At 41.3% G+C, this 24,326-nt stretch overlaps 1 protein-coding gene across 2 annotated transcripts in view, besides 3 other annotated features; it reads right to left on the reverse strand.

The window, feature by feature from the left end:
* IMPG1 (interphotoreceptor matrix proteoglycan 1) overlaps positions 1–24,326 on the reverse strand; it is a 151,549-nt gene that overhangs the window by 7,051 nt on the left and 120,172 nt on the right. For both annotated transcript variants that reach the window (NM_001282368.2, NM_001563.4), the window contains 3 exons: positions 22,398–22,930; positions 19,150–19,369; positions 2,789–2,987 (listed from right to left, as the gene is read on the reverse strand). In NM_001282368.2, coding sequence (NP_001269297.1) covers positions 2,789–2,987; positions 19,150–19,369; positions 22,398–22,930 — 952 coding nt within the window. The remainder of the gene's footprint in view (positions 1–2,788; positions 2,988–19,149; positions 19,370–22,397; positions 22,931–24,326) is intronic.
* Positions 6,802–7,413: an enhancer, noted in NCBI's record as "NANOG-H3K4me1 hESC enhancer chr6:76644683-76645294 (GRCh37/hg19 assembly coordinates)". NCBI's record gives its function as "activates a minimal SCP1, AML or CMV promoter by ChIP-STARR-seq in naive H9 embryonic stem cells {active_cell/tissue: H9 hESC(naive)}" and the evidence as "EXISTENCE:reporter gene assay evidence [ECO:0000049][PMID:30033119]".
* Positions 8,222–8,723: an enhancer, noted in NCBI's record as "H3K4me1 hESC enhancer chr6:76646103-76646604 (GRCh37/hg19 assembly coordinates)". NCBI's record gives its function as "activates a minimal SCP1, AML or CMV promoter by ChIP-STARR-seq in naive H9 embryonic stem cells {active_cell/tissue: H9 hESC(naive)}" and the evidence as "EXISTENCE:reporter gene assay evidence [ECO:0000049][PMID:30033119]".
* Positions 8,724–9,223: an enhancer, noted in NCBI's record as "H3K4me1 hESC enhancer chr6:76646605-76647104 (GRCh37/hg19 assembly coordinates)". NCBI's record gives its function as "activates a minimal SCP1, AML or CMV promoter by ChIP-STARR-seq in naive H9 embryonic stem cells {active_cell/tissue: H9 hESC(naive)}" and the evidence as "EXISTENCE:reporter gene assay evidence [ECO:0000049][PMID:30033119]".

Genomic DNA, 24,326 nt, shown 5'->3' on the forward strand with positions numbered 1-24,326 from the left:
TTGGCCCTTTCTTCCCACCCCTCAACCTTTCTTTCTTTCTTTCTTTTTTTTTTGAGATGGAGTCTTGCTCTGTCGCCCAGGCTGGAGTGCAATGGCGTGATCTTGGCTCACTGCAACCTCCACCTCCTGGGTTCAAGTGATTCTCCTGCCTCAGCCTCCAGAGTAGCTGGGATTACAGGCATGCGCCATCATGCCTGGCTAATTTTTGTGTTTTTGTAGAGACAGGGTTTCACCATGTTGGCCAGGCTGGTCTCCAACTCCTGACCTCAGGTGATCTGCCCACCTCGGCCTCCTGAAGTGCTGGGATTACGACTCCCAGCCCAACCCTTCTTTTAAATTACACATGTTGGCTGGTCTGAACATAGTGAATTCTCTCAACTGATTGTTTACAGTCAATTGCAGATGGAAATGCTTGTGCTATTTCTTTCCCTCTTCTTACTACTGTACTTGACTAGCCTAAAAAAAATGTACACAAGTGATACATGAACAGATTCTCATTATTAAAAATCCTGGACCTCAATTTCACTCCATTCCATTGTTAACTGGAGTGATAGTTGTGTATCTATTCCACATTTTTATTATGAATTTACTTACATGTTAGATCGAACTATACAAAACTGCCAATATTTGATGATTTGTGACTGACAAAATGGCAGTGCCATATGGTTGAACCTAATATACTTACAGTATTGTTATTAATTTATTACATGTACGGGATCTTTTATGCTGCAATTTGCTTTCTCATTTAATGATATGTTATTTTTCCGTCTATGGCAGCTCCAGTAGAGTTATATATATTATTGCCTTTAGCTGCCATGTTTCACAGTAATGTACTGTACTCTAACCATTTCCCTATTGATGGGCTATACAATTGTTTCATGACTCAAAGCAGTAATGCTGTGAACATTTTTGTAAGCATATCTTGGTGCACAGGTACAACTATTCTTGTAGAAATAATTGTCTAAAAGTAGAGTACCTGAGTCAAATTTAAAATTTTATAGATAATGACAAATTTCTTTTGAAAAAAGGCTTTTCCAATTTGTACATCCACCAGCAATGCTTGATGGATCTAGCTTTCCTCCATATTCCCACACTGAGTATCATCAATCTCCTTTTGCCAAATTCAAATGATATCTCCTAATTGTTTTTGGATTTCCCTGATGATAGTGAGATCCAGTATCTTCTGTATTTTGCTGGTCATGTGGGTTTCTTCTATGAATTGCACCTCTGTATTTTTTGCTCATTTTAATATTAGGATGTTTGTCATTCTCAGCAAACTATCACAAGGACAAAAAACCAAACACTGCATGTTCTCATAGGTGGGAATTGAACAATGAGAACACATGGACACAGGAAGGGGAACATCACACACAGGGGACTGTTGTGGGGTGGGGGGAGGGGGGAGGGATAGCATTAGGAGATATACCTAATGCTAAATGATGAGTTAATGGGTGCAGCACACCAGCATGGCACATGTATACATATGTAACAAACCTGCATGTTGTGCACATGTACCCTAAAACTTAAAGTATAATAATAATAAAATTAAAAAAAAGAAAAACGGGAAATAAAATAAAATTAAAGTAAATTAAAAAAAAAAGGGTTTCATAATCCTAGCTGGACATTTAGGCCTTTGATCTATTTTGAGTTAATTTTTGTATGTGGTGTTAGGGGTCCAAATTCATTCTTTTCACGTGGATATCTGGTTGTCACACACAGGACCATTTGTTGAAAAAGACTATTCTTTCTCCACTCAATTGTCTTGGCACCCTTGTGGAAAATTAGTTACCTCATTAATGAATGTATGAGTTTGTGTTTGAAAAAAAAATTAGGATGTTTGTCTTTATTAATACATGTGGATGTTCATCCTTTGTCTGTAATATAGGTTGCATTATATAGAAACTTTCCTGGTCCCTTTCTGCTCATAAGGCCACCTTCATAACACTCTAAAGTCTGGTTCCTGAATAGAGAGGCCTTTGTATCTTGCCTCCTTTTCCTCCTTCTCAAAAGCTTCTCTTACCCTTTCTGTCTGGAAATGAAGGAATGATTAAACACATCATAACACATCTAGAGAATGGACTGTTATGTAATCACTAAAAATGATGCTACAAAAATATTTCATGACATGGGGAAACATTCTAAGTTAAAAAAAGAGGACTATAAAACGAGAAAGTCTGTTTCTATTGTGCTTTAGAAAATTCCTTATAAATCAATTGTACATAAACATGAACACCAAAAGATAACTGTTAATGTGTGGAATTAACTGATTTTCATTTTTATATAAACAGGAACACCAAAAGATAATGTGTTGAATTAACAGGATTTTTATCTTTTTTTCTCGTAATTTTCTATATTTCCCAGCTTTCTTATGATGAAAGCTATTATGTTTGCTAACAGGAAAAATCAAATTTTATGCACAAATACATCCCCAATTAAGGTAGTAGACCAAGTATTCAGTCTTTTAAAACTGATACAGGTTCTTTCTTCCTTCCCTATTGGTCTTAAGGAACCCTTGCCGGGAAGCCTAGAGCAGGGTTCTCAAAGTGGGGTCCTAGGACCAGCAGCATCAGCCCTACCTGAGCCCCATCCAGACCTACTGAATCAGAAACAGGGCATAGTAGGGTGCAGCCATGTTGTTTTAACAGGCCCTTTTCTGGGTGATTTCTACACTCACTAAAGTTTAAAAACCATGGGTTGAAAGGACCATATGAATTTACTCTAATGATGGGTTTCTCAGAAGTGTAAGTAATGAGTTCTTGAGTCTGTGACGTTAGCATGCTTGACCCACCTGCATGGAGCTCCCTTTCCCTGGAGGACCTCGCATTCCTTTGTGCCAGGGCCACAGAGGCCTGGTTCCAGACCGTCCAGGCTCCCCTGGCTGTCATATCCTGGTTTGCAGCGACACTCCGCTTCCTCAGTCCGTTCGTTCTTTACACATTGGGCAAATTCGCCGCAGGCCAGGAACTTGCAGGGATCTGCTTGATCAGCTGTAAGAAATGGGGCAGATTTTAACGCATGTATGAATAGCTAAGCAATGGAACTGGCAGCAGTCAAAGGCAAGAGACCAAATACATTTGCTATTACCTCATTTTGGAGTGGGTTGCACAGTTGTGATATCAGACTGGAGGGAAAAGAACCACATTCTGTATCTTTGAAAAATGAATTTACAGACACAAGTGATATTAGTTTAGCTCCAAATGTAATTATTTACAACCTTTAGTGTGCATCAGAATCGTCTGGAGGCCTTGTTAAAACAGATTCCTGAGCCCCACACTCAGAGTTCCTGTGCAAGCAGCGTGGAATGGGGACTGAGTTCTGGCTCTAAAGCAGTTCCCGGTGATGCTGATGCATCTGGTCTGGGGAGCACATTTTGAAAACCACTGCATTAGAGAATTAGGAATGTTTTGTTACTTAGTTTTTTTTTTTTAAGTAAGCATTTATAAAGCATTAAGTCATCATTTATGTGAACAGTTTTGAGAACTCAGGATGATTTCCTGATTTTAAATATAAATTTCTCTTGGTCTCTTGCTAAGGCCCTAATGTTAGAGAGTCATTCTTTTGGATTAATTATTTCTTCCCTATTAACATTTAGACTCACTTCTTTCTTGTCATTAATTGTTCTATTTTACTCCATTCCTAATTCTATAGGGTTGTCTCCAATTCTTTGGGAAGTGGATTAGAAATCAAGAGAATCTCAGATATTTAGCTCTGGAAGGCCAGTGGCCCCTGTTTGCCCTTCCTTATCCTTATAGAGCTGAGCACATTGAGCTCTCAGTAGAGAAGCAACTGACCGGAGTCCTCAAGGGCTGATGGCAGAACCAGAACAGGCCTCTTGTCATCAGACCACTGTTGTTTCTGCCCCAGAAGGTCTCCTGTTCAACCATATCAGCCATTTACTTTTCAGATTATTCTTTAACCAAATAACTATTATGTGCAAAGAGCTAGGGAACAGGCAACAGTAAAGCCATTCTTCCAAGAAATTTAGGGGAAAATGCGTACAGATAATGCTATACAGTCCTCTGACTGGTCTCACGGCCATCCCTTCGTGGAATGTGTGAGAAGTTCCAGGGAAGGGCAGAGCCCCAAGGGGGAGCTATTGGACCACTTTGCTAATATATTGGCCCTCTTTGCTAATACGGCAGGTGAAGGCAATTAGAATTAGAGTCAAAACGAGAGAATTTATAACAGTAATTTGTAGAGCAACTCACACTGCTTCCACTCTTATTACCTTAAAAATATTTTCCCTAGGTATTTTGATGACCCTCTTTACTTTCATGTAATTTTTCAAGGAACACCCAAAACTTTAAGCTTTAGGCAAAGACTGAAAAATGGATGTGGGCTGATTCTGGGGAGACAGAGCCATGGAAGGGATAGAAAAGATTGGCTCTATGATAGATGAATGAAAGTTTAACTAGTAGAACTTTTGTAAGCAAAATTTTCCCTATGTTGTTATCATTTTCTTTATCTGCCATATCCCAAAGACATTTTTCCTTAGAATAATGAACTTATTCATGGGTAGGCCATACCAATATTTGTTTCTTCCTTTTTTTTTTGAGATGGAGTCTCGCTCTTATTCCCTAGGCTGGAGTGCAGTGGCGCCATCTCAACTCACTGTAACCTCCGCCTCCCAGGTTCAAGCGATTCTCCTGCCTCAGCCTCTTGAGTAGCTGGGCCTACAGGTGCCCTTCACCATGCCCAGCTAATTTTTGTATTTTTAGTAGAAACAGGGTTTCACCATGTTGGCCAGGCTGGTCTCGAACTCCTGACCTCAGGTGATCTGCCTGCCTCGGCCTCCCAAAGTGCTGGGATTACAGGCGTGAGCCACCGCGCCTGGTCTCTTGTCTCTTTCTTAATACATCCCAGAGCACATGTACAAGACAAATTAGTTTGAACTTCCTACTCTTTGCTATTGATTTGATCAATAATAATCTATATGCTATGCTGCAACAACTGAAAATGTTTTGTTCTGAATGTGGTCGAAAGCTTGGAAAGAAGGGGGCAAAGAGACTTGAGATCAATAGCAGATTCAGGAGAAAAAAGTAGATGCCATTGTCTAGAAGAATATTTTCAAGTCATGATCAAATTGTGTTTGGGTCTGAGGAAGTGAAATCCTCATGATTGGTGTGTAGACAAATTGGTCTATAATTGCCTTCACTGCCTGGATTTGTTTGAATTCCCTTCAAACCATTTATTTTTACTGTTGGTACTATAGAGAGATTTCACCATGATCCTGTACCACATTTAATAAATACATAATATGGTTTGGGGCATTCACTGGGCTTACTATAATTGCTTGCTGGCAAAATGACTTAGCTTTCTATTCTTAAGCCATGAGGATAGCTCTTCTACACAGCATATTTGACAGTCTCTCCACAGAGACAGTCCAGGGCACTTGACCTCGGCAAGCTGAACAGTGTCAGTGGCTGCTCGTTAGCAGTTGGTGGGAAGATCCAGGTCCAGCCTGGCCAGAGGTCCGGGCCTAGTCTACTAGCATCCCAGTAGATTCTGGCTGTATTCAGAAGAGACATGTCGTTGCATTTCAGGCCCTGTCCCTGGAGTGACCCTGGGGATCATGACCCTGAACCTCCAGCTTCAGTGGAAAGGGCAGTTATTTACATAAACAGGGAGCTCACACTTATCAAAGGCCATTATGTGTTTGGCACAGTGCCAGGCACTTTCAACATGTGTCTTCAATAATATTCACAGCACCTCTCAAATCCATATGGATATTGCCGACATCATTTTCATCGGTGAGAAAACGGAAGCCCATTTTAGCTAGTAAGTATGATCCAAGATTAACATTCATATCTGTTTACAATGTTTGGCTTTTTAAATAATTCTAGAGGTTTTCAAATATGGGGTTTCCAGGAGACACCACAGGACTCCAAGGGGCTCATAAGGGATGAGGGAAAAAGAGTGAGAGCCCCCCCACCCCACCACATCTTCATTGCCATCCTCACTGGCAGACATATCAGACTTCCATGAATGCTTTCCTTTGAATAAAGGTTCCCTTAACTAAACAAAAGCTCAAATCCATTGTCTGCTGCACCCTTTCATGAGGCAGAATGTTTCTTGTAGAAAGTACAGTCTGACACTACAGTGGCTCCAATGTTTTTTCCTGTTGTTTAAATGTGACAGCAATGAACATGTCTTGAAATAAGTGAGCTGCCATGTAGGGCTTGGAAATATTTGTATCATTCTGAGATTTCCAGTGTAAGGGCATCGGATGTATCAGTTTCTTCCCTGGATTTGCTTACATAATGTCTTCTGTGTGCATTTCAAAGGTACTGAAAAGCAATCCCAATTGGTGACTGAGGAAGTTTGTTTCCCAGCTCTCCACCGTGTGATCAAAAAGCATTTAAATGATGTCCCCTGCCTGCAGGGAACACCTTGAGGCATTTTACAGTCAAAGTTAAAAAGATCATGGTCCTTTTCATCAAAAAGTTTATAAATTCATGGAGATCATAGGTCCCTGTTGGTCCAAGACTGCCTCTTTTTCAAGCCTCTTGTTTCTGGTCCCAAGTGCACTCATGTTTGTCAGGCCTGAAAATAGGCCTTCCCTCTCTGCCAGACCTCAGAAGGTCTCACTCCTTTTTCTCCAACTCAAGATCGTGCCCTCCGCTACACCCCCCTTCCCGTCCCGCCCCTCAACCTTGTCCTGCTCTTGCCGCATGTCCTACTGGCTGTGTGCTGAGTGCCTTATCTCCCTAACATTTATCATATCATCTCCTGCTTTTGCGCTGTCCCATTTTACTCACGTGTTGGACAGAAAGTGATACATCTCCTTTGATTGGATCCTGTCCAAGGGCAAGGTTTCAGCTCAGCTTGCCTATAAAATTCAGGCTTCACCTGGGCTGGCTGGGCTGAGGTCCCGTTGGGTCTCTCTTTCGTGGACGTTTTTTCCAATGCGATGAAACCTAGTTCTCGCTAGATGGCGCTCAATAGCAAAAGAAGCAAGAGTAGACTTCGGGAATGACATTTTAAGCACCCCAGCTGATTTCTGACTTTAAAAACCACTGTGCCTTGCGCGTTGGTGGAGGGAAGCGAGGTCTGCAAGGGATTCACGCGGTAGCAGGAGCAGCTCCAGGGGACTGCTGATAGAGCCATTATTACTCCGTGATTACAGCGGCAGATCGGGCCTGCCTGGCGGGGGTAATGTGGTGAAAACTCCTGGATCATCTTTTCCCATTTCAAAAAGGCAGAGCTAAGACTCTGGAATCCAAACGCTTCCCGCGCTGCCACGCCCTGGCGCCCAGCGTGACAAAGCTTCACGCCTGAACAAAGTGACAGATTTTTGGTTGCGTCGGCGCTGGGGGGTCGACCCCGCCGCACGTTCGCTCGCTCCTGCTGGCTGCTGCGGGCAGCTGTGGGGCCTCCTCGCCCTCCCCTTCCCCACTTACCACCAAGGCTTTGTGGTCATGGTTTTGTTGGTGGCGAGGAGGTGAAGGGGTCATTCCTTTGCCTGGGGCATCAGAGAAAGGCAAACTTACGCATCACAATCAATAGCAATCTGCAGGAGGCACAGCCTGGGGGCCCGCCATGCTTTTAGGAGCCCACAAAAATGTTTTCTTTAAAATCAGAAGAAAAAATTAATGCAACCCGTACTGGATTATATTCATTTTTGTGCTCACGAAGTTAAGGTATAATTTTAATATTCTTTACTAATAGTCATGAAGGCAAAGGGCCTAGAGCCCAGGAAGTCTTAATGAGGCCCTGGTAGTCTGACAGTTCTCTTCTCAATGTGTGAACATCACTTTTACATAGCGCTTGGGGCTTCGAGTTTAGTAATTTGAATAAATACGTCCCTGTACTGAGGGTTCATCTGAGATGTTACACAGGGACCTCACAGCTTCCACCAAGTCCTGAGAAGGTTGTGAGATGTTTGTACCTTCAGAGAGAGTGGACCTGCTCATCTGTTCTACCAGTGAAGAAGCCTCAGGACAGTGCCCTAGCGGGGAAAGCCTGGCTTCTAGAAATTGTCTGTGGTCTTGGGAACATAGGTTAGCATCTCTGGCTCTCACTTTTCTCTTCCATAGAATGGAGTGTTTAAATCAAGTGATCACTAATGTCCCTCCAACTCAAACATACGTCTCCCATTCTGCGTGTTCCACGGCATAAAGCCAACGGAGGTGGCTCATGATACCTCCAGAAATGCTGATGCAGTTCAGTGATTCAAAGAAATCTTAAAATATATATGTTTAAGTTTTTGTTGATCGCTTATTTTATTGTTATAAAATGTTTGGCTTATGGCTTATTGCTGAAAGGTAGATTAGAGTGAGAATATTCAATGATAAATAGCACATAGCACAGCACCATGCACATGTTTGGAGCTTAATACACATTTGTGGAATTAAGTTAACAAGAGTTCTTTCTGGTTTAAAGTGGCAAGTAATGTGATAGACTTTAGGTTTCATTTCAGTTCTCCACCACTCTCAAGAAGCACCACCACAGCTGACTCTCAATAATCCTTTTTTGTGTGAGTGGATGTGTGAATACCCACACACATCTTGCCCTGGATGTGAGGTTGAAGAATTGTCTCAGCTTTCAGCCATTATTATTATCTGCCAAACAGAGGTGTTCTGGATGGATTGGCACTAGGGTGGTGGCCAATTGTCCCAGGATCAGCGGGTGGAGGGAGAATTCTGACACTGGGGGAGCTGGGAGGAGGCCCTGCAGCTGGGCTAAGCCCGGACTTGTGTGGAGGGCTTTGTGTTAACAGGTTGGCCAAACAGCTCCAGGAGCCTTTTAAGGAAGCTCCATGCAGTGGTTGGGGTGTGGAATGAGGGCACAGATTGAAACCCTGGAGAGAGGTGAAGTGTGTCTGGCAGTCCAACCAGTGTTGGGGCCTCTAGTGAAGGCAAATGTCAAACAGAAAATCTGCAGTGCTGCGTGTCCCAGGAGGCAAAGGGCCAGCAGCATGACCCCAGGAGACAGGGCCAGGGATGTAGGAGATGATGGGGCAAATGAAGAGGGGAGAGGCTGAGGAGAATCACCTGGAAGGAGAATTCCTATGACTGCTCCAGCTGGAAGGGACACTCCTAGCAGTGCATATAAAGGGGACTCTTGGGCACTCAGGACTTTTGTTTCTGAGAGTAAACACTTTTTTTTTTTTTGCATTCTAAGACTATGACAAAATATGATAAGAAATTTCATTTGGCGAAGTGTAGAAACTAACAGAATTCATTTAGGATTAATAAAACTGAAGTGTGTTGTCACTTTTTCTAAATAAACAGCCTCTATAACCCAGTTAGAAGGGCTTATAAGATTCCTTTTTGTAAAGAAGTTATAGGGTAGAGTTGAAGATGGCACACAAATCTGGCTTTGAATTCCATCTGCAGCGTTTGGTAATAGTTTGACCAGCAAAAGACAAATTACTTATTCTTCTCTGAAACACAATTTCTGCAGCTGTACAGTGGGGGGAAATAATATCTACCTTGCATATTTATTAAGATTAAAATTTGTGTCAATAGTAACTATTATTGACATTAGTTAATAGTAACTATTATTATCATTATTGTGATGAGTGACATATACCACTTTTTCAGAGATGTCGAAGGTCTTACAAATTATGCCTTTTCCAGGGAAAACAAGCTCGTTGAGCCACATTTTTGTAAATGCATCCTGGATGTCAGACTGTAATTAATTTCAGTGTTTACCATTTACCGGCCTTGAGGGCTGTCCATTTTTGAGGAGGCTTCTTAGGAATTCAAGGAGAGAATAAGTTATATGTGGTTTTGCATTTTTGAAATCTTCAGCCTGCACAACTAACTGGCATAAAAGCCCTACATGCTTCTGAAGAATTTTCACAGCAGCCTAAATGAAAGACGACTCTAGTTGCTGGAGATGCTGGCAGAATACTGAGCAAGCTGTGACTTACTCGGTTTTTCAGTTGATAAATCACAGAAAGTTCTAACACTGGCTTATACTTTTTATATCACAGATTCATTTATCCAGGGGTTTTTCAAAAGGGGAATGGCACACCTAGTGCAGTAATAACAGCACATTGCTTCTCCTACATGCCTGCACCTCTGCAGATGTTATTTGGCCTAATGGATTGCTAATCCTCATTTAGAGGATGCATCCAGGAGTTCACATGCTGATCTGAATGTGGAATGATATTAACTAAAAATCCCATGAGAGTTTTCAAATTCTCTCTTCTCCTTAGTTCAAAAGTGGTTGTGGAATAATGTTATCTCTCTCCCAGTATTGTGACCACAAACTGCTTTCTACCCTGACATTAAGCAAAAGAAAAGAGAAAGACTTAATTGGAATTTGTTTTAAATTTTGCAAATGATACTAAATAAATTATCTGGGCATTGCCTGTAAATACAATAAAATTGGGGCACAGACAGCAAATACTATTCTGGGCCAGATGTGGTGGCTCATGCCTGTAATCCCAGCACTTTTGGAGGCCAAGGCAGGTGGATCACTTGAGGCCATGAGTTTGAGACCAGCCTGGCCAACATGGTGAAACCCCGTCTCCACTAAAAATACAAAAATTAGCCAGGCATGGTGGTGCACCCCTGTGATACCAACTGCTTAGGAGGCTGAGACAGGAGAATCACTGGAACCCGGGAGGCGGAGATTGCAGTGAGCTGGGATCGCGCCATTGCACTCCAGCCTGGACGACAAGCCAGGCTCCATCTCAAAACAAAACAAAACAAAACAAAACAAAACAAAACAAAAAAATACTATACTGACCAAGACAGCCTTAATATTCCCCTCAGCTTCACTAAACTTTTTTTTTCCCCAAGACAGTGTCTCACTCTGTCACCTAGACTGGAGTGCAGTGATGAGAGTAACTGGGACTACAGGCGTGTGCCATCACACCCAGCTAACTTTTGCTTTGTGTGTGTAGAGACAGGGGTTTCATCATGTTGCCCAGGCTGGTCTTGAACCCCTGGGCTCAAGCAATCCACCTGCCTTAGCCTCCCAAAGTGCTGGGATTACAGGCGTGAGCCACCGCTCCCAGCCTTCACTAAACTTAAGACAAACTTCTTCCACAAGGCTCTCAACTTCCTTTTTCTTTTCTTTTCTTTTTTTTAAAATTATACTTTAAGTTTTAGGGTACATGTGCACAACGTGCAGGTTTGTTACATATGTATACATGTGCCATGTTGGTGTGCTGCACCCATTAACTCTTCATTTAACATTAGGTATATCTCCTAATGCTATCCCTCCCTGCTCCCCCCCACCCCACAACAGGCCCCGGTGTGTGATGTTCCCCTTCCTGTGTCCATGTGTTCTCACTGTTCAATTCCCACCTATGAGTGAGAATATGTGGTGTTTGGTTTTTTGTCCTTGCAATAGTTTGCTGAGAATGATGGTTTCCAGCTTCATCCATGTCCCTACAAAGGACATGAAATCATCCTTTTTTATGGCTGCATAGTATTCCATGGTGTATATGTGCCACATTTTCTTAATCCAGTCTATCATTGTTGGACATTTGACAACCTCCTTTTTCTTACAGCAGTTAGTTAAAAGAACTTGTAATTGCAAATTCTATGTTCCTTTGAGATGTAAACCTTTTAAAAACCCTCTTGCCACCTTTACAACTCTGGAATGTTATGCTCCAGGTCCTGGGCGCCATCCCTTTAAAATGTAAACCTCAAGGAACTTAGCAACTTTCTCCCTGTCTCTGTGGAAAGGTAGGAGCCTAACATTGGAGGGCGCCTTGCTCTAAGTTGTAAGACAAGAGGTAGACAGCCTGTGCTGACGTTGTCCGTTTCCATTTCATTCTAGCCTCACTGAAGTCTGGCCTCTCTGCCCTTGCTATTCCATTTGCTTTTGTAAAGCATTCTGATGACCTTTGAACTGTCCACTTAAGTGCCCTCTACTCTTTTCACTCACAGCTGCTAAAGAAGCTCCCTCTTCTGCTCTTCTGTTTTGTGACTTTCTGCAACATTGTCTCTCACCTCACTGACTGCTATTTCTTGGCTCCCTTTACTGTAATTTTTCTATTTCCCCATTAACTGTTGGGGTTATTCAGAGTTCCATTCACAGCTCTTCCTCCCATCCTACACATTGCCCCTGGCCATTTTAAAAAATCTGTTCTCTGGCTTCAGTTGAAGTTTCCCAAATGTATACTTTCAGCCCTGGCTTTCCCTTGGCCTCCAGACACCTACTTCATAGGCTAGAGTCAATCTATCTTGTCTATTTCCTTAGAACTGGTTTTCTTTCAAATATTTTTGGAGTCTTTTAAAAATATTTAATGGATTTTATTAATTTTTGCCTTATTTATTGCATTTAAAATTAAAAACAAATTAATATACGCACCACCCTTTGTACCTATTTTATATTTTTCCTAAGTTTTTCCAAACTTGCAGTATTGTATGAATGATAAACTGTTTTATTTTTATTTTACTTGAGAACACTTTAAGGACTGTCTAGCACTTAGTTGGAAAACGTTTTGAGCTTTCCAAAATTTTATTAAAGTTTAATTTTAAAAGACCATAAGTCATAGGAAACAAAAGAAAAAGAAAAACAAGACACCAAAAGTGGAAGCAAATAGATTTGACGGGCATTTTTAGACAGCCTGGCTTTAAGTGAACCGGCTCAGCCTGGCTTTCCCTTCCTTCCAATCTGAGCTATCTTCGCTCCCTTCACTCCCTGTTCTGTAAATAAAGCTGTCATCACTGTGGAGTAACTGAAGAAACCTGGCACTCCCAGAAATGTCTGCATTTTCCTCTTGCATCTTCTGGAATAGTCCCTCACCCCCTTTCTCTTCCTGGGCCCACCACCATCATACACCAAGACCCAGCTCAATATCACTGTCTGTATATGCCTGCTATGATATCCCTTCACCTCTGTAGAATTAATTGCTCTCTCCTCATTACTTCATAAGATTTCTTTCTGCTGACATCCTGATTCCAGTATTTAACAGACTCTATTATGTCTTTTTGTATATGCTTCCATTTTTCTCATTAGTTATTTAGCTCCTTGGGGGCAGAGATGGGGTCGATTCATCTTTTGGTCCTTGTGGCTATCATAGTGTCTGACTCATGGCAGATAATCCATAAATGTTCACTGCATGTATGAGTGAACAGGTACCCAAATCATGATTACATTATCATTTACTTATCTAACTTTTCTGTAACAGCAAAGATAAAGGCCAGGGAGAGGAACAGGCTTGAGTAATTGTTGATGGTTTAAGAAAAATGATCCAATATTTGGAAATAAGGAGAAAAGTTGACTGTGTGACCTTCAATGTTATATTAGAATATAACAATCCCATCCAGTAAACAGAGACCACCTGTGGGTCAATCTGACCAGCTGCCTGCTTTTGTACAACAGGCAAGCTAAGAATGCTTTTTAAATTTTTAAATGGTTAACTTTTAATTAGTTATGTAAGTACCTACATAATTTTTGCCTTTTGGCTTTCAATGCCTAAAATATTTACTGTTTGGCTTTTAAAGAAAAAGTTTGCTGATGCATGGAAAGCAATAACTTTGTTTGACTCACTATTTACTATGGATTATGGTCCAGACGTTTTACAACTCTATAAAATTAGAAATTAGTGTAGAGAAAATTGATGATGCAATGATTGTAGTTTCTGTTTTACATTTACCAATCTCATTTCATCATTCTCTCTTGTCCTCTGGCTACCTAAAATTCCAATTTTTCATATTCTCTTTAAACCAGCTTTGTCATCCTACCAATTCCCTTATTTCAAAATTAAATAGGACTTTGACATGTGCTCAGTATCTCCTTTATGACAATTATGGTTTTTACATTTTGAGGGTGATTCTTTGATAAGGGTTAGGGGAGGCAGGAGTGGGTAGGGCTGGTGTTTCTGGAGGCTGGGGGGACACTGGACCTGAGGTGGGAGGACCTTCTTACCCTTCAGTGTTGCGGACCACTACCTCTAAACTATGTCTACTACGAAGGTGGTCAGGGAAGGGTGAAAGGGTAAGAAATCCAGTAATGCAGTTTTGCTATAGTTGACTATCCTGGCTGGGAAAACATTGAAATGATAGGATGCCTTCTCTATTTTCCAAGGATAGATTCTTGAGATTCTCTCCTAGAGACAAAGCTAAGTATTTATTCTTGATATACAGAATTTCCAGCAGCTGCCTTTTTTTCTTGTCAAAGATTTCTCCCTTTTAATTCTCTTTCAAGGAGAATTTTCTCAGCAGATTGGATCATCATCATTGAGTTCAAGTAAATACTTGAAAGATCAAAACCTGAATCAGGGCCGTTCCTGTATTTGCTTAAGTGACCTTCTGTTATCATCAGGGATTTTGAGCATCATTTTCTCTTGGGTCTCGCTTACTACATGCTGGAGGATGGGCACTGTTGTGTATCAGCCCAAGCCTTCTGTAACTGAAAAGTCCACACCAGCAATAGAGCCAAGAGCTGTGTAAATTGGAATTTGAGTCCTTCTTTTCTAGGAATCTGAAGTAATTATCTTCACTCCGGATCCAGGGTCCTGAGAGACAGCACGATCTGCTGGTTGCACTGGTTGGTTGTACTAGGGACATTTTAATCAGCTCACCCGTCAGTCACCATGATGGCTTACACGCAAATATCCCACCAAAAGGAGAAAATTTGGATCAGCCAATCGCACTGAAAAACTAGGAGCAAAATAGCTGTCATATTGCTAGATTTAAAAAAGAGGAAGAAAATGATTGAAAATCATCTGCACATTTTCCGTTAATGTGTTTTAAAATTTAGATATGCATTTCTCTTATAATAATTTTGTATGTATTTCCTCAGACTAAAATTGTATAGGAGTACTGATGCTAGAAACAGTTTTCTGTAACTGTACAGGCTTTTTTTTAGAACAGTATTTTAAATTTCATGTTCACAAAGTTTTATAAGATACGCAGATTCATAGAATTAAGAAGTTAATTAACTCTATTCAAAAGCAATGGTGGTGAGAATTTTTGGGTTTTAGTACTGTCTCCTCCCTGGATTGGAACAAGGGTTTGAATGGAAAAAGGAGGTGTGAGTGAGGGTGGTGTTTGTGAATCTGTGTTTGTGCACCTGACTACCACGTGCTTTGGGGTCGCTATCTCCTCCTCTTCAGCAGCCTCACCCCCCAATGGTAGCTCGTACTGCTGTGTGCCCTGCATGGTTAGTGGTCCCCTCTGAATCTCATATTAAAAATCTGATCTCCAATGCTGGAAGTGTGGGCCTAATGGGAGGTGTTTGTGTCGTAGGGGCAGATCCCTCATGATATGAGTAGATTAATGTCCTCCCTGGGAGGGAGGGGTGAGTTCTTACTCTGTGAGCTCCCACCAGCACTGGGTTGTTAAAAAGAGCCTGGCATCACCCTCTCCTCTGCTTCCTCTCTTACTGTGTGATTTCTGCACATGCTGGCTCCCCTTTGCCTTTTGCCATGAGTGGAAACAGCCTCAGGCCCTCACCAGAAGCAGATGCTGGTGCCTGCGGAAAGATGAGCCAACTCTTTTCTTTACAAATTATCCAGCCTCAGGTATTCCTTTATAGCAATACAAACAGAAAAAGACAGCTGGTATTCCATCTCCCCAGCCCTGGACCTTAGTGGCTGCAGCTGGCTGCTTAGTTCTGGCTATCCCCGGCCAAAGGCTGTCTCATTGACCAGCCTGGAGGGACTAGAGTTCTTTTCATTTATTTCTACTCCTACATTCTCTCTTCTGTTCAGGCTTGACAAATGAGACTTAAAGAAAACTCAGTGCCCTCTTCATTATGGGACCATCCCTTAGTGATGCCCAAGCCCACAGGAATTTGTAGGAAGTCTGGCACAACAGAAACTTGTCCTTAAAAAGTCTTTTGGAATGAAAAAGATGTAGTTTTGATCCCAGCATAGTTCTAAGATGTCCCTTTTCTACTACAGTGCAAATTCCTTTGGGCAGGGATGGATTTTCATGCATTAGCATGTTATATGGTGGTGGATGAATGCTGTTTTGGATTAAGCATGTAGAAGATGGTCAATGTCCTGATCATCAGTCCAGTGCCCACTTCCTGATTACATGGGTGAACCCAGCCTTCGCCTTTGGTGAAATATCTAAACCAGAATCCCCAGCTGTGCATGAAGGAGCCCACAGAGTCAGTGACTATTCCCTGTGCCCCCCTCTATTCCTTGCCTGCTCCTCCCTGCCTGCTGGTACCTTCCTCCTTCCCCTCACTGTTGACTGGAAGGAAAACCTTTGAGGGCGGTTTAGCACAGTGGCTTCTAGCTATGCATAGCGTAGTATAATTAGGAACCATGCTGGATATTGGATTTACCCATTTGGATTTACATAGATGAATCCATACAGTTCATTGATTATTTTTAACTTATAAAATCCATATTTGACTTACTAATTCTGCTGTCCTCAAACACTTTGATTGAACCATCATCATTTGGTTGATGCTTAATGATGTTCTAAGCATCACTTAAGACAAGCATCACTATGTCCTAACTGGTGCAACATAGCCAGTTTTTGGCAGCCCTCTTGCATAGAGTTATTATTTTATGAGTTTTCAATGTATATAAAATTTAGATTTTGTCACTCTCCAGGTATCTGGTAAGGAATAGAGTATGAACTATAAGTTCACCGAAGTGCTTAGTGTAACATTCAGTGGCTTTTGCAAAGTATCTCCCTTGTAGTTACCATGTGTAGTCATTCAACATTCAACAGCTTTCATTCAGATTCACTGCTTCTCCTGGCTTTACATGTTAATTTCTTCAAAAGTATTTGAGTTGGTGCAGGCTCAGGGTTGAACTACCTCTGGAAAGCAAGCAAGTAATTTCCCAGGTTGTCCAGCAGGCACTGGCTTTCCCCTACTTTTTTCCACCACTAAAAATAAGAATTGGGCATGTATGCCATAGTTCACTGAGTAGGCTGGAGGTATTCTTAGGTAGCTCAGCATAAATGTGACTCTGCTGGGAGTGAAACTGACGTTAGCACCATCTCATGCTTACCACCTTTGGCTTCTTGGAAGAAAAGCTGCATAGCAGAACTATTCACAAGAAATCAGTGAAAATAATTTCAGTTCCACCCCCTCCACAAATACCTTGTCACGCTACTTTTTACTGTTTTTGCTGGTACCTTAAGCAGGTCACAAATTGATAGTCAAGTTAATTATGACAATGTTGCAATAGTAACTACTAATGTTTATTAAGTAACTAGAATTTGTCAAGTGCTATATTAAGTATTGTAAATATTCTTTCAGTTAGTTCTCATAATGTTACCATCTCCATTTTCTTTTCTTCTCTTTTTTTTTTTTCTTTTTTTTTTTTGAGAGGAGTCTCTCTGTTGCCCAGGCTGGAGTGCAGTGGGGGCAATTTTATCTCACTGCAACCTCTGCCTTCCGGGTTCAAGCGATTCTCCTGCATCAGCCTCCCGAATAGCTGGGATTACAGGTGCCCACCACCATGCCAGGCTTATTTTTGTATTTTTAGTAGAGACAGGGTTTTGCCATTTTGGCCAGGCTGATTTCGAACTCCTGACCTCAAGTGATCCACCTGCCTTGGCCTCCCAAAGTGCTGGGATTATGGGTGTGAGCCACCACACCCGGCCAAAATTTCTCCATTTTCCATTTGCAGAAATTGAGTGCTGCAGTTACCACACAAGATTCAACATTTAGGGCTGGGGATCCCCAAGACCATTACTATGCTGTGCTTGCTTCCAATATCAACAGTGTCCCTTATACAGCCCTGGCAGTGCACTCACAGCTTCCCACCCTCTTTCTAAGACACTACTTAAGTGGCATCTACATTGAGAAGCTGCTCCCTACAGCCGCACACCTGGGTTATCCCTTGCCTCAACTTGGCTCCTCACGTTGACCTTCTTGTGCTGGTGGATGGGTCCCTAAGTAAGCTGTCAGCTCCCTGAGGGAGGAAGGAAGACAGGGGATTGTGCTATGACTTCTTCAATGCTTTCCAAGTCCTGCTAGCTTAATCAATTGGCTGAAGAAATTAGCCTTCTGATCCTAACTGGCAAAGACCCCTGGTTCCTTTTCAGTTCTGAAGTAGTTTTCCGGGGAAGAGGCAGTGTCTTACTGGCATTTAGGAGGTGTTTGATTTCTTAGGGGAGCCACAGGGCTTACTCAGCTGCTCCTGTTTAGAAGTAAGTGCTCCCAGGCTCAATGCCTACAGGCGGTCTGTCTTTTTAAGGATCCTGTTTACTAAGGTACGGAGGCAATTTGCTTAAAGTTGCTCAAAGCACTGCTCTATCAAATATAAATGTCTCCCACTGAGCCTTTTTGGTTTGCATTTTGCCCATGGCCTCTTCCTTCTGCTTTCGTTGTTAGTCCACAGAGAGCCAGAGAGGGTGTTAAAGATTCACTCCACTAATTCATAGCCAATTAGGAAGCTTTGTTTTGAATTTGACTGGGAGGTAGCTTTGGCAGAAATCAGGAGCCCTCCCTGACTTTTACCCCAGGGAATAAAGGACTTCTTTCAATTGGTTAGAAAACAGAATTTTGAAACTAATGGTAAAAACAGTTCCCAATTTGGTCACAGCTGGTTACAATGGTGCACACTCTTTGCTTTATTATCAGAGCAAATGTTTGCTTTCTCTTGTGTGGCTTTGGGCTAAGCTCCCATGTCTTTAAAAGTTTTCTCCTTGTCTAACTCTTTGCTTTAATCTTCACATGGAAGCTGATCTGTAGTATACAACCAAAAAGCAAATTTATTTTCTTCTTTTTTTTTGTTGATGGCGAAGTGACTTTCTCCAAGTTTGAATTTTTATCTAATGATTATTTTTCTTTCCTTAGAATGCTGTCTCTGATCCTGAATTACATGATGAAGTAGCTATTCTGATAATGAACTGTGATTGAAAGATTGCTTAGGTAGGAAGCCCCGAGGTTGTTGCAGAGCACTGAGAAAGTGCTTTTGACTTCTAGCAGAATGTAAATTAGCTTGGCTGTGGGCTACATTAAAAAAAACTCTTAAACACAGCAAAAGTTTTGTTCTGATTAAACTTAAAATTAAAGCTCTCAGATTGTGCAACAAGAGGTGTGCTTGTTCATTGCTTTTTGATACAGGAAAATGTTAACTTGCATGTCTTTGGACTCTACCTTTCTAATGATGTGCTCCATAGCTTCCAAAAGGTTATTTCATCTGGTATCATTTCAGTTTGATTTTTGTGGCCTAAAGATTGAAACGTGTGCTTAAAAACAGAACGAAATTAAAAAAATGAACAAAACATCTCTACCACTTTCTGGGTTGGATTCTTTTACCTGGTTCAATGTTGAGAGAGTAGCTGTCTATTTCCAGATGGAGTTGTTGGGCTGCAGCAGAACGAAAATCCTCCAAGACCCCGTGCACAGCCTTGGTGAGGTTATACGGCACTGACTTAGCAAACTTCATTTTGCTATTCACAATCACACTCCCGTTTCTGAAGTTAAGTATTTCAAGTTGCTTAAATCCTGTAAGATTGGATCGTAGATATGGAACCAGCTGCAAAATAAAAGATGGTTTCCTCTTAACTGTGTTCTAAGTGCTCAGCTGCTGCTAATTCCACTTACACTCACTTTTCATTAACCGAGACATATATTTTAGTTCCTTTTTATTATTTTGATTTTTGTTTTTGGATTTAATGTGAGACCAGAATGCCACTACTTAATGGTTGATTTGCAGTGATTAGTCCCATATTTCCACCTTTCTATCTGTGTATTGAGATGGATGGCTGTGATTTTTTTCATGGTGAATTGTGAGAACAGATGATTTTTAAAAACCTGAGCCAATGCTATTAGCAAAGCAGGAATGCCAAGTTCAGTTATTAAAAAAAAAAAAACCCAAGTAAATAAAAATATGTTCCAAACTGAGCCCAGGAGCAGACTGACCTGTGTCTATGTAAATGGGACATCTATTTGGATGCAGCCAATTTGAAATGACCTATTAAAACAAACAACAACTTAAACATCAGCATGTCTCTCTACGCAGTAAATATTTCCCGGCCAACACAAATGTGGTGTAGTGGAAACAGCAGGAAACTGGCAGTTAGGAGACTTGGGTGCCAGTCCTAGAACTGTCCCTAACTAGCCATGTGACCTTTATCAAGCCCTGTAACCACTGTGTTGTACCTCAGGGCCCTTATCTGAATTGTGAGGAAGAACAAAAAGTGGCTCCCAGCGAGCCGTTTCCAAACTATCATAATCTCAACAGTATGCCCCATGGCATTGTGTTTCAGGTTCCCACATCTGCCTCCTGTGAGCCACGCCATCCTAGAGATCATTTTTCAGAAATGTTTGAAACTCAGTGATGTTCACCTTGTCCTTGGCTCTGAAAGTGAGCCTCCTCATTCATGAATTGTACTGTGAACCCAGAAAGCATAGAGATGCAAGCGCCGACCTCCTAGGTGTGACCCACACCTCCTTTTTATTTGCCCCTGTCCCCACCCCACCACAATTTTGACTCTGACCCAGTCCCACATTCTGTTACTTCCCTCACAAGGTTTTTGTGTGAGTAAAATGAAATTTTAAACAAATCGTGGTACTTCCCTTTTCAAGTTACTGTCCCCTGATGAGGACAGAACTTACTTGACTAGCCTCATTCTTGGTGTCTTAGCATTGCTTTGGCCTGGGGTAGAGATTCCCTGTCTTCACCTACTGTGCAGATAGCTAGGTGCTGCTTCTCCCAAATCCATTTTCCTATTTCTCATAGAAAGAGGCTGCTGATCTAGAAAGCACATTTTCCAGCCTCCCTTGTGGCAAGGATGGCCATGTGACTAGTTCCCACTAATATGATGTGGGCAACTTTGGTGTCTTTTGCTTAGGAGAAAATTGCTTTCCCTCAGCTTCCTCTCTGCTTCTCACAAGTGGAAACAGGGATGTACCAATGACCCAGCTTTGACCATGTGAATGAGGAAATGCCCTTGGTATTGGCAGAGCTATAGGATGGAAGAAGTGTGGGTCCCTGAATGGCATCATAGAGCTAAGCTGTCCTACCCATCAAGTGAAAGAGAAATAAACTTGTACTGAATGAAAGTCACTATATTCTTACCTCTTCATTATGGCAGCTTAGCATGAACCCTAATTAACATGCCATGGTTAGTTTGTCAGAGGCAGGTGAACCAGCACAACTCCATCTTGAATAGGAGCTGGGTAAAATGAGGCTGAAACCTACTGGGCTGCATTCCCAGACAGTTAAGTCACAGGATGAGAAAGGAAGTCGGCACAAGACACAGGTCATAAAGACCTTACTGATAAAAGAAGTTGCAGTGAAGAAGCTGGCTAAATCCTACCAAAACCAAGATGGCCATGAGAGTGACCTCTGGTCGTCCTCACTACTACATTCCCATCGGCACCATGACAGTTTACAAATGCCATGGCAATGTCAGGAAGTTACCCTATATGGTCTAAAAAGGGGAGGCATGAATAATCCACCCTTTGTTTAGCATAGCATCAAGAAATAACCATAAAAATGGGCAACCAGCAGCCCTCGGGGCTGCTCTGTCTATGGAGTAGCCATTCTTTTATTCCTTTACTTTCTTAATAAACTTGCTTTCACTTTGCACTGTGGACTTGCCCTGAATTCTTTCTTACGTGAGATCCAAGAACCCTCTCTTGGGGTCTGGACTAGGACCCCTTTTCTGTAACAGGTTCACAGGGACTCTGTTCCCTGAGACTCTCCCAATATCTACTCACCTCATTATAAATGGTGTGGGGTGGGGAGATAGCCCAGATAAAGTCTTACTTTAAAGCAAATGTTCACTTGAGAAATTGGGTTTCATGTGGATTTTAATTTGTGTAATAATTTAACTTATATGAAGTATAAAATTTTTTATTTATTGTCAGACATTCTGCCATCTGTGTGATATGTACAATTTATTTTAATTAACCATGAATGTATAGAGGTATTACATAGTTCAACATTTCTTATTGTATATGTATTTCTTATTGTATATGTAGAAACAAAATAAACGTGAGTTTGGGAGTATCTTATTATCAAAGATATATGTCATAATAATTATCTTTTCACTTTCTTTGTTAGGGACCAGGAATGATAAACCACTTAGTCATTTTTTAGGTTTACAAGAACTTAAGGGGAACTAAGAAAGGAACCCTTACTCCTGAACTCTCAGCCTCATCTGTGCTGGACCATTCTAACTTTGTACCCTTTCATGAGATTGATATAATTTAGAAAATGTTCACTCTATTTTTAGATTCCATGTTCAGTGCTTGAGTGTTATGTATTATTCCTGGATTCACTAAGTTAGGGAGAATTATAATGAAAAGAGTTTAAGAACAAATTTGTTCTTACAGATTGGGTGGCGGTGTCTTCCCATTTGTCTATCACAGAACTCACTTCCCCAGTTGGATCTGAATTCATCTCAAAATTCTAGTTGAATGTCTTCAGCAACAGCTGGCTTGGCGGTTTGTTTCTACTAACACTAATTGCTCAAGACAGCCAATAATTATATTATAAAATAACAACAAAGAAAGAAGAGACAAAGAATTGGGAATTGTGAGCAGTGCCCACTCACCAGCTGTGTGAATTGTTGCTCCAGAGCTCGGTACTCCAGAGAGCTCTTGTTGAACAGGTCGTTGGAGAAGGCCATGTTAGCAACACGCAGACTGAAGAACACTACCAGCTCTCGGCCCTTGGGGGCAATGGTCATAGAACTAGTGGTGATATACTGTAAAGCTGAGACAGGAGTGGTATCCTCCAAGAAATGATCTGGGACAGAAACATATTCGCTGAGCTCTGGTACCTCAGATGGGGCAGGAGTGTCAGACAGATCCATTTCATCTAGGTGTCTGACCATATCTTCGCCACCTGCACTTGATCGGCTGTCATCTGAAGATGCAGGTGGATGTGAAATTCCCAGAGCCAGTTGGCTGATTGCAGAATAATCACTGGTGGGGATGGTGAGCCCTGGTACTAGCATTGTCTGGTCAGTGGCCATTGTATCTGTGGTGCCTTGATCAGTCAGAGAGAAGATGCTTGATGCCATAAAGAAAGGTGGAGCTTCTGACAGGGAGGTAGAGGCCATAGCAGGTGGAGACCAAGAAGTGTCTGTGGAGGAAGTACAATTTCATTATGTCCAAGTATTCCCCAAAGAATAGAAAGTGAAAAAAAGAAAATCCAAAATTAAGCTTAACTTAAGAAAATACATAGCATTTGCGTAGATCATTTCAATAGTCATTTTTTTTTTTTTAAAGAAGAGAAATTGGAACAGAAAGGGCAGGCAGCACTATGTCCCAACCTAGGGAGACAAAGAGTGGATCCCTGTACCCATTTTATTCAGGCCCAGTAGTTCTTGATATATGAGACTAAAAGAGCACCAGTTAACTAGAATTTCTGGAATTACTGCCTAGTCAGACACGATACACTTGGGAACCAAGTAGTACAAACTGACTAAGTCACCAATTGGTGCCAAACTGCAGCTGGCATTGGAACAGATTTAGATCCCTCATCCCCGTATAGAACTCCCAGACAACTAGGTGTGCAGTTTTGACCCAGAAATTTTATTCACTTTCCAATAATGCAAGTCTGCATTTTATGCAATTGGATTTTTTTGGTTACAATAATGATGTTTTGGTATTTTTACCACTTGAAATTTAAATTATGCTTTTCCAAAATTGAGTAATCTAATTGAATAGCTTGTCAATTTGCAAAATGATACTGGGAGTATAAAGGTATTGGTGAACATATAATTTGAATGTTACATTGACCATACAACTTGCTGTTTATTAATATTTAAAACCTCTCAATTAGCTGGGTGTAGTAGTACACGCCTGTAATTCCAGCTACTCAGGTGGCTGAGGCCCAAGAATCTCTTGAACTTGGGAGGCAGAGATAGCAGTGAGCCGAGATCATGCCACTGCATTCCAGCCTGGGTGACAGAGTGAGACTCTGTCTCAAAATAATAATAATAATAATAATAAAATACAGTAAAAAACCTTTGCCACAGTTACATTATTACGCTCTGACAATTTCTACCACCATTTTGCATTGCTACCTTGGGTAAGTACACATTGAACTATCAAAACCTACCCCTTTTTTGGTACAAAATGAAAATAAATATTTCTAAACTGAGAAAGTGGTGGGAACTTTCAGATAAACAGATTGTTGAATTATTAAAATATTCCAATAAACCTAAATCCAGAGCCACTGATGATATTTAAGGCATTAAGTGAACAAAACAGGGAGCTTTTTGTGATTTCTTCAGTGGCCTTTTGGCAAATATGCAGGAAAGCTCTGTTGAAATCCAAATGCTAAGCATGATAAATGGACTGTCTGGATGCAGATATAATCTCTGGACTCTCAGTCAGCTAATTTACTACGGTGAAATTACTAAAACCGAAACTCCAAGTGATAAACAGCTCTGAAAGTTGGAATCATATTAGTTTTATTACTTTCTTAAAATAAAACCTGTCTGTTGGTGAGTTATGCCAGATTTCAGAGAAGC

Source organism: Homo sapiens, chromosome 6 (assembly GCF_000001405.40).
Source record: "Homo sapiens chromosome 6, GRCh38.p14 Primary Assembly".
NCBI lineage: Eukaryota > Metazoa > Chordata > Mammalia > Primates > Hominidae > Homo > Homo sapiens.